The 10966-nt window shown below is 35.8% G+C and overlaps 1 annotated feature.

Annotated features, from left to right (window-relative positions):
• Positions 1564–2763: an enhancer, noted in NCBI's record as "CDK7 strongly-dependent group 2 enhancer chr5:23465882-23467081 (GRCh37/hg19 assembly coordinates)". NCBI's record gives its function as "activates an origin of replication core promoter dependent on BRD2, BRD4, P300/CBP, MED14 and CDK7 cofactors, with strong dependence on CDK7, by STARR-seq in HCT116 cells {active_cell/tissue: HCT116}" and the evidence as "EXISTENCE:reporter gene assay evidence [ECO:0000049][PMID:35650434]".

Below are 10966 nucleotides of genomic sequence, written 5' to 3'. Positions count from 1 at the left end.
ATATACTTAGCACGAAAACACCTCTTTATGCCTAGAGAAGTTAAATCTTTTGCCTAAGGCCATGTAACATATTAAAAGCAAACTGTATCACAACATTCCAGGGGGATTTCTCCACTGAAAGACATTGGTACATTAGTAGTTGCATTAGTGCTGTCTTGATGCTTCACAAATCACCACAAACTTAAGAGCTGAAAGCAACATGTATTTACTGTCAGGCCTCTGAGCCCAAGCTAAGCCATCATATCCCTTGTGACCTGCATGTATACATCCAGATGGCCTGAAGCAACTGAAGATCCACAAAAGAAGTGAAAATACCCTTAACTGATGACATTCCACCAATGCGATTTGTTCCTGCCCCACCCTAACTGATACAATATATTCTCCCCTGCCTTAAGAAGGTACTTTGTAATATTCTCCCCCAGCCCCATTAAGAAGGTACTTTGTAATAATATTCTCCTATTCTCCCCCACCCTTAAGACGGTATTTTGCAATATTCTCCCTGCCCTTGAGATTGTACTTTGTATGTCTATCCCAAACCTGTAAGAACTAATGATAGTCCCAGCACCCTTTACTGACCCCTTTTTCGGACTCAGCCCACCTGCACCCACGTGAAATAAAGAGCCTTGTTGCTCACACAAAGCCTGTTTGGTGGTCTCTTTACATGGATGCACGTCACATTTACTATCTTGCAAGTTCCATAGTCCTGTGCTTAGGATCTCACAAGGATGTATTCAGGGTGTCAGCTGGGGCTGAGGTTTTATCTTAGGCTCAAGATACTCTTTTAAGTTCACAAGGTTGTTGGCAGTACTCAGTTCCTTGGTTAGAAACTGATGACTTGTTTCTTTAATACCAGCAGAAGAGCACTTCTGTTCCTTCCAGGCTCTACACTTTAAAGGATTCAACTCATTAGGAGGTGATATCTACTCTGGATGATATTCCTTTTTGGGGGGAAGTAGGAGAGACCTGAGAATATAATGGGATATCAATTCCACTATTTTTTATCTTATATGTAAAGAGATTTTGCAGATGGAATTAATATCCTTAATTAGTTAAGTATTCTACTTGACTAATTTTAGTCAATTATAATACTCAGGTCTCTCCTACTTGCCAGGGAACGGGATTACACTAGGGCAGGAATCATTGGGCTTACAAGAGAGGTAATAGGGTTTTCTTTTAAATATTTTTAATAAAACTTCTGTTAGTTTCATTTGTTTAATGAAAGAGAATATTGATGTTAAAGTTGATACACTTTTTGACCACCTATTTCTAGTAGCATTTGCCTTCAATCACACTGAGACAACCACTATCACAAATTTGATAGATATGCACAACAGCTTTATATATGAACAAATGATAGATAATAATATTACTTGTAATTATCTTAAATTATACAAAAAATACCATTTACTTTATGTTATTGTAATAGCCCAACTGGTTTATCTTGCCCACTGCCCAGAAAAGCTAATGCACTGAGAACAGCAGGTTTTTGCAGCAAAGAGAGTTTAATTAACACAGCACTAGCCAAGTGAAAGACAGAGTTTGTTATTCAAATTAGCCTCCCCAAGAATTCAGAGGTTAGGTTTTTTAATGGATAATTTGTCAGACAAGGGGCTAGGGAATGGGTGCTACTGATTGGTTGAGGATGAAATCATAAGGGTGTGGAAAACAGTGCTTATGCCCTGAATCAGACTGTGGGTGAAGGTCAGGAGATTGATTGAATTATGAATCCCAGGTCCAGGATTGAGTCATAAATCACAGGTCCAGGCAGAGTCAGTGTGTAATCAGTTCAAAAAAAATTGCAAAATACCAACCTTGGGTTTCACAATGGTGATATTATCCATAGGAACAAGTGGGGAAGTTACAAAGTTTTTGACCTATGGTGTGGTAAGCAATTATGTAAAGGCAAGCTGTGCATGCATTCTGCTCTACCTGCCCAGTAATCCTAACATGTGGCCTTTCATTAGTCTTACAAAGGCAGTTTCAGTCCCTGAACAAGGAGTGAGTCAGTTTAGGGAGGGCCTACTATCATCCTTGCTTCAAAGGGAAACTATAATCTAAATTCCTGCCATGGTTAGCTTGGCTTAATGCCCAGGAATGTGAGAGGAAAGCCATCTTGCGAGGCTAGAAGCGATATGGAGTAAGCCATGCTAGACTCTTTCACTGTCATAATATTTGCAAAGGTGGTTTCATTATGTTGCTTTAAAATTGGTCTTTTTTAAAAAAATGTATATTTTGGGATAGTCTCCAGTGTATGTAAATTAAAATTATCTATGAAGTATTAGCTCAATGTTTTAATCTGGTGCATAGAAATTTTCTGCATTCCTAATGATTTCATAACTGCCTAACTGCTAACTTTCTTTTAAATAAGAGTTTTTTCAACATATCTGCAAATTTGTAACCTTCTGGTTTTTTGTTTGTTTGTTTGTTTGTTTTTGAGTCTTGCTGTGTTGCCCAGGCTGGAGTACAGTAGTGAGATCTTGGCTCACTGCAACATCTGCCTCCCGGGTTCAAACAATTCTACTCCCTCCTGAGTAGTTGGGATTACTAGCAGCTGTCACCTCACCTGGCTATTTTTTTGTATTTTTAGTAGAGATTAGGTTTCACCATGTTGGCCAGGCTGGTCTTGAACTCCTGATCTCAAATGATCTTCCTGCCTTGGCCTCCCAAAGTGCTGGATTACAAGGTGTGAGCCACCACACCTGGCAACTCCTAGTATTTTGCTGTGTTTTTCTAATTTCATATTTTGCCTCTGGAGTTAGGTGCACATACATTCATGGTTTCCACTTTTTAATTACTGTTTCTTTGTTAAATATGAAACTCTGTTGATCCATATGTATTCACAGATTTTGTATTTGCAAAATTCTACATGCTAAAATTTATCTGCAAACTCAAAATAAATTCTGATGACACTTTTTGTTCTTATCTGTAGACATGCTGAGAGTGACACAAAATGTTAGTCTTCTGATGTGTCCATTCCTAGCTGAAGTCAAACAAAGTGATACTGTGCCTTCTTTTTTCAGCTCTCTGATGAGTTGACCAGAGTGTGGAGACTGTCCAATCAGGGTGCTGTAGTGTGACAAGCTCCAGCTCTGGGAACCAGTGGGATGGGTTTGGATCCCAACTCTGACATCTGCTAATAGGATGTATTTATTTGTCAAACATATCTACCATTTTAATAGGCAACATATATTCCTTTATTTTCATTGCAATTACTGATATTTTTGTATAATTTCCACATGCTTATTTTTTCCAGGGATTAATATTTGCTACTTCTTCACGTTATTTTTATTTTTCTTGGTGTTTTTCCTAACCTGGTGAATGCTTTCTGCCCTTTTTCTACTTCTTTCAAGTTAGAAATTTTTTTATATTCCCACTTTAAAAAAGTGCTACTATGTATTTTACTAATTATTGCTTGAGCAATTTAGTGCCATGGGAGGGAGGTGCAGGATGCATTTAAAGTTACTTTTTGTATTTAATTTGCAAATAAAGAATATTTGTATATCAATAAATATTGTACATATAAGTAAAAAAACTGACAATAACAGTGATGCCAAAAGCATGCATAAAAAGGCTATAATTAGCTTTATCCCTGGATGACATATTTTAACTGAAAACAACTCTAGATATTACAGGTAAAAGAGATGAGGAGTTTAATTTCTTTTTTTAAAAATTTTATTATTATTATACTTTAAGTTTTAGGGTACATGTGCACAATGTGTAGGTTAGTTACATATGTATACATGTGCCATGCTGGTGTGCTGCACCCATTAAGTCGTCATCCCTTCCCCCTCCCCCCTCCCCTCTCCCTCCATTCCACAACAGTCCCCAGAGTGTGATGTTCCCCTTCCTGTGTCCGTGTGTTCTCATTGTTCAATTCCCACCTATGAGTGAGAACATGTGGTGTTTGGTTTTTTGTCCTTGCAATAGTTTACTGAGAATGATGATTTCCAATTTCATCCATGTCCCTACAAAGGACATGAACTCATCATTTTTTATGGCTGCATAGTATTCCATGGTGTATATGTGCCACATTTTCTTAATCCAGTCTATCATTGTTGGACATTTGGGTTGGTTCCAATTCTTTGCTATTGTGAAGAGTGCTGCAGTAAACATACGTGTGCATGTGTCTTTATAGCAGCATGATCTATAGTCCTTTTCTTATCACTTCAATACCTTTAATCGTTGGCTACAAGTATTGATGTCTTTTATATGAACTGTACAGATGTTAACAATCACTTTTATCACAGTCAAAAAGTGATTGGAGTTTAGCATGAATTGTTACTTCAGCTTTTAATGCTTTTTTTAGTAATTTATGCAATTATTTGGGTCAACTATAAGAATCTTTACTTTTCTTCTGATCTTAGTCATAACAAAATTTTGTTTATATCTCAAATAAATCATGAAAGTTATTAGGTATTTTATCAGGAATACTTTATAAGAAAGTAACATAATTTAGAAACATTATAATTTATTTATCTATGTGTCAAGGCAATTCAATATAATTTATTTTAATAATGTAAAGCCAAGTATTTGAGAAAAATCAATTATTAGTTTTAGGGGATTGGAAAATAAAAAATATTATGCTCAATTTTCTGTAATTATTTTAATAACTATGCTTTTTTACAACTCTCAGGCTTCTAAATTGGAAATTTAATTGGGTTTAAATGTTAAAAATCAAACACTTTCCAGTTATTTATTTATATATTTTTATTTTATTTATTTTTTTGAGATGGTATTTCACTCTTGTTGCCCAGGCTGGAGTGCAATGGCGCGATCTCAGCTCACCACAAACTCCGCCTCCCGGGTTCAAGCAATTCTCTTGCCACAGCCTCCCGAGTAGCTGGGATTACAGGCATGCACCACCATGCCCCGCTAATTTTGTATTTTTAGTAGAGATGGGTTTTCTCCATGTTGGTCAGGCTGGTCTTGAACTCATGACCTGAGGTGATCCCCTGCCTCGACCTCCCAGAGTGCTGGGATTACAGGTGTGAGCCACCGTGCCCAGCCACTCTCCAGTTATTAAGAAAATCTTAGAGATATATAAATTCTATAATATGAAATTTGGGATATAGTTTCAAAATTATTTTTTTCAAATATTACCTTTTACTCTTCCTGCCACACATACATTGATAATAAAAGCATACAGCCTTCCCTTTCTTACACAAACAGTATTTGAATCTTAAACTTCATACAGTTTATTGACCACTCCAGCACTATAGTGCTGCCACAGGTTGTTTAAATGTAACACTTATAATGTTGATCATTTATTTTCTTGCCTCTTAAAATCTTCAATTTTCATTTGTTAGTCACTATAGTAATGAAGCTGCAAAATGCTGTACTTACTCAGAATGATCTCTAAGTGAATTTAAAAGCATATGTTCTCATCTTAATTAGACATTCTGTTTCAATGAGATATATTGATGAAAAATGTCATTATGTAACATGTTGTCTTTATATTCTAGAAGAACATAATGTAGCATTGTATTTGGGAGTTAATTTTCAATTGCTTTCTCTAGGTTATGTTCAACTTTCTCTACTCTGCTCTACCTCGAAAGATACCTTGACTCCGCCAGAGAGCATCAGCCCAAATGTGCTTGATCTCTGGCTTCGTCTTGGGTTCAGTCAATCAGAGTTACAGATCAGAGACAAAGGCAAGAACTATTAGAACCATCTCCTCTCCAATTCTCCCATCTTCATAGACCACCTCAGGATCTATATCATTACTTACCTTACTTCACGATCTAGTAACAAGATGTTTGCTTCCTGCCTCTGCAGGCCTAAGGGTGGTATAAAAAGCTTCACATTTTTTATATGCCCTGGATATTTCAACGTTCTTGTGAGTCCTCTTGATACTGTCCAGATCTCTGTAAACAGACAGAGATCTTAGTCATAACAAAATTTTGTTTATGTCTCTCAAACAAATCGGGCCAGGCGCGGTGGCTCACGCCTGTAATCCCAGCACTTCGGGAGGCCGAGACGGCAGGATCACGAGGTCAGGAGATCAAGACCATCCTGGCTAACACGGTGAAACCCCGTTCCTACTAAGAATACAAAAAAAAATTAGCTGGGCTTCGTGGCGGGCCCCTGTAGTCGCAGCTACTCGGGAGGCTGAGGCAGGAGAATGGCATGAACTCGGTAGGCGGAGCTTGCAGTGAACCGAGATCGCGCCACCGCACTGCAGCCTGGGTGACAGAGCGAGAAAAAAAAAAATCACAAAAGTTATTGAATACTGGATCATGAGGAATAATCTACTAGAAAGTAACATTACATTTTGCTCAAATTCTACCCAGTCTGCATCCTGCTATTTGCCAAAAACCAGATTTAATTGATTTGGTAGATATCCTCTCATGCTTCCCATCCCCTGCAATAAGAATAAAATAATCTCAGTCACGTCTTGTCACCTGATGTTCTTAGAAGTAAATAATTACATTAAATTTTATACAATTTGTCTTTAATCGAAATATGTTTTACACTTTAAATATAGGTCAAATCAAAAACTAATTTATAATAGGTCTAAAGTGTTTGAAAGTTAATGTGAACACATAATTGCCATGCCACTGTTAGCAATGCTTTTATTAAGTGCCTAATTTTTCGCTGTGCTTCATCAAATGCTTAATATGGAAAATATTTAGTAACAATTTATGTTATTTCCATAACTTATGATGTTATCCTGTTTCCCTACTTTTTTCCCAATGTACATATTATGCAATCTCTTATGTGATTGTTTCTACAGCTCAATGAATTACAAATGATTAACTCCAGTCTCTGAGGAAGGTCATAGTCCTTGTCATGTCATTTGGCATTACTTTAATATGGGAGGACACTACAAAACCAATACAAACTGTTCTAACTGGATTAGCTCATTCAGTTAATCTGTCTTAAAAGATGCTCTTCAAAATATATGCACTCAAAATCTCAAACCCAGAGAGATCACTATTCCTCTAGATAGAGGTTCAAATTAGTAGGGGTTGGAAATTAAAATATAAACACACACACACACACACACAAACACATGCACTTTAACTAAAAATATTAATAAGATGTATGTACTCTTGTGATTTTTTTTAACTTACATTTCTCTCCACTCAATATAAGTCTCCAACTGAAGAAACAGTTACTGAACAATGCATCAATATGGAGATCAGATTTTCATTAAGATGACAGTATGTTACTACGAAGATTAAAGAACAAATTGGAGCCTTTCACTCAAAACATGAAAAATCTATTCAAACTGCTGAGTTCTACTTCATCCTCCCCTGCCTCAACAGTACATCAGTGTCAGATCTTTTTCTTATTCAAGCAACTAAAGAGGGAATTGCTGTGTCTGAAATTAGATTGTCATAGTAATAGCATTAATCTTAATCTCAACTGTTTAAGAATGCTCTTCAAATTTTGATTTTCAACATATATGAAGCATGAAATAATTTTTTACTGTTTGAAAAATCATGACAAAGACCACATAACATAAACTTTACCTTCTGAACTATTTTTGAGTGTACAGTTCAGTAATGGTAACTATATTAACATTGTCGTGCAAAAGAGCTCTAGAACTTTTCCCTCTTGCAAAACTGAAACTCTATGTCCACTATAACAACTCCCATTCTTTCTCTCCTCTCAGCCCCAGAAGCTAAAATTCTATTTTCTGTTTTGATGAGTTTGACTATTGTAGACATGCTACAGCATTATTCACAATAGCCAAAGTGACAACAACCCAAATGTCTATCAACTGATACATTGATAAGGAAAATGTTTTCACACATTTTAGGTAAGAAAATGGCAGTTAGAGAGACGCCCCAACATATTTGTTCTTTCAAATGTACCTTAAAATCCCTTAATATTTTTCCTTACAAGATCCTTTTGAAATTGTTTAACTAAACAAATAATTAAATCCCTATGAAACTGGCTCCTTGACCTTGACCCTCTGTGGCAACTATTCAAATGTTGCATCCCATTCCAAAGAAAGTAGACACAGGATTTTCATTCATTCTTAAGTGTTCAGTTCAAAATCTGCAGATATATTTTTCTATTTAAACACAAACTCCCACCAAGCATGCATGCATGCATGCATGCAGAAAAACACCTATACAAATAACACCACTTCATAAACTAAGACACAAACCAATAAACCAAAGGCAAATGAGAAAAGCAATCTCTATACATGTTTTTCTTGAATAGTCTCCTTGGCCATTATTTAATTTATATTTCCACTATTTCAGTATTTTAGCTCAAATTTCTCCAAAATTGTTCCTGACACCCTACACCAATCAAAACCACTCCATGTCTATAATTTGGCCAGAAAAAATATTAAAATTGTTATAGGCTATTATTTTCACACAATAAACATATACACAAAAAGAGAGAAAATCAATCATGAGCTTTGAAAACTTTTATTGATGACTATATTTTCCATGCCAGTGTTCTAATTCATCCTTAAAATAATTCATAGAGGCATCATGTATAATGCGGCTAAACACTCCCAACTGACTGCCTCCTCTACCCAAGACAATTACGTTAAACGTATTCTTTCCTCACACAAAGAACAGAGGATAAGATTTTTCTTCCTGTTAATGAAACTGTAACTATAATGACAATAAACTTAATTTTAGATAAATCACTGAATAAATACAGGCTACTTCTGACTAGTACTCATTTTTTAATTAAGCTAAGAAATATAACAAATAATAGGTGTAGATGATTATTTTATTCTATAGGATTTGTTACATTTTTGTACCCTGATGCGAGTACATAAACACAACCTTTTCCAGTAGTCTCAAAAAATGCACTGCTCTAAAGAATGTGTTCTTTTTGGAGAAATCTATTTTTTAAGCGTGATTAACAGTATTGAAATACCTTATAAATTACTGAAATCAGAATAATCTGTAGAAGATGTTGCTATGAGGAGTAAAGTCATACCAGTAGAATACCATTTTCAAATTTTACTTGTTCCTTGAACTTCAGCACAGCTACTGGGAGGTTGGGTATGGTCATTAATTTGTGTTCAGCAGTGATATGGTTTGGCTCTGTGTCCCCACCTAAGTTTCATGTTGAATTGAAATCCCCATTGTTGGAGGTGGGGCCTGGGAGGAGGTGATTGAATCATAGGGGTGGTTTCTAATGGTTTAACACCATACCTCTCCAGCGATCTCGTGATAGAGGTCTCAGGAGATCTGGTTGTTTGAAAATGTTTAGCATCTCCCTTTTCACTCTCTCTCTCTCTCAACTGACAGCTATGTGGGTATGTGCTTGCTTCCCCTTCACCATCCGCCATGATTGTAAGTTTCCTGAGAGATCCCCAAAAGCAGATCCTTACAGAACAGTAAGTCAATGAAACCTCTTTTCTTTATAAATTAAGCAGTCTCAGGTAGTTCTTTTTTAGCAGAACAGACTAATAAAAGCAATATCAATGTACAAGGACCGACATAAAAGACCATCATTTTTGTAGAATTTTTGTGTAAACACAGAGAAATTTTCTTTAATGGGGTCCATCCTGTAGAGTTGCCAAAAGAAAAAAAAAAAAAGGAATTTCCAAGTGCAAAAGCCACAAGCCTGGTAAGCCTCTCACAATTTCATCAACTTTCAGTTTCTAAAATATACTTTCATTCACCTATATTTTTGAGGAAAATTATAAAATTAATGTCACTGTTATTTATACTTTTACTACTACAGATATTATTAATGGTAACTATTCATGTAACATTGACTCTTGTGATGGAGTGATCATTATCCCTCAATATTCTTTATAGCCTTTTCCTAACTTTACAAAAATCTAGAGTTTCAGGTTGTCATCAGATCACTCAGAATAAATATTACATTTCCCAGCCTTTCTTGAAGCTAAGTGTCCCCAAATGTCCCAGTTTCACTCAGTAGGATATAATATAGGTGTCCTATGGCAGCTTCCAGGAATCTTTCTTAAGAAATAACTAATATTTGCCTTTCTCTTCCTTTTTGGATGCCAATACTTAGAATGAGTATGTCATAGCTATAGCCCGATCTCAAATTATATAATAAAGGCTCCCTAGAAAAAGCTGAAACCTGAGGAAGTGAGAATCCTCTTTTACAACACAGAGAAAATACTTTACTTTCCCACCAAAGTAATTATAGAATAATTAAGCTTATGAAGGAAGTTACCAGCTTACATCTCTTGTATACAAGCACTTTTATTAAAATTCATTGATATAAATGTATGCTAATTTCACACTTAGACCTTGGTTGGTGAATTGCACTTTAAAAAATTCATTCAGCTGTGGATATTTGTGTCACACACACACAGATCTTCAGCTACATTTGGACACAGGATGCTTCTTTGTGTCCTAGCTGACTGAACATATCACAGGTGGAGTTTACCATATCTAAAGTTTTCTGAGAAAAGGTTCTTTCCCCAAATGCCAAGGTCTCAAGAAGCAGATCAGGCTTGGTTACTGACTAGACCAAGATAAACAATGGGGCCTAGAAAACCACAAGGTCTGGAATAATTGGTCTGTTTGGGAAGGATCATGGTAATTAGCTCAGCTGATGAGATAAACTTTTTCTTTAACTAGAAAGTAAGACGAATTGCTTGTTCTAAATGAGTGAATACGATAGTAAAGTCATCTAGAGAAACAGAACTGCTTAGTGAAAGAGAGAGAAGGAAGAATCAGGTAGGTCCTCAAGTTGGTTTATTAGGTTGATGCAAAAGTTATTGTGGGTTTGTCATTACTCTTAATGGCAAAACACGTAATTACTTTTCTACTAACAAAATAGGTCCTGAATGACTTTTCATTCTCAGAATAAGTGATATATTTTTACATATTTTTTAATAAATATTTACTTTTTCTTATAACTAAAGGAAAGTCACACAGGGGACTGAGTAGAGTGATTATTGTAAATAAATATGGCACTAGCTGTGGTTTCAAGGCAGGGCATGACTCAATGAATAAATCTTCATTCTTACATGGCAAATGCAGTTTATACTGATGAAGGTGGTAAT

Source organism: Homo sapiens, chromosome 5, assembly GCF_000001405.40.
Source record: "Homo sapiens chromosome 5, GRCh38.p14 Primary Assembly".
NCBI classification, from domain to species: domain Eukaryota; kingdom Metazoa; phylum Chordata; class Mammalia; order Primates; family Hominidae; genus Homo; species Homo sapiens.
This window is presented reverse-complemented; position numbering and strand designations above follow the sequence as displayed.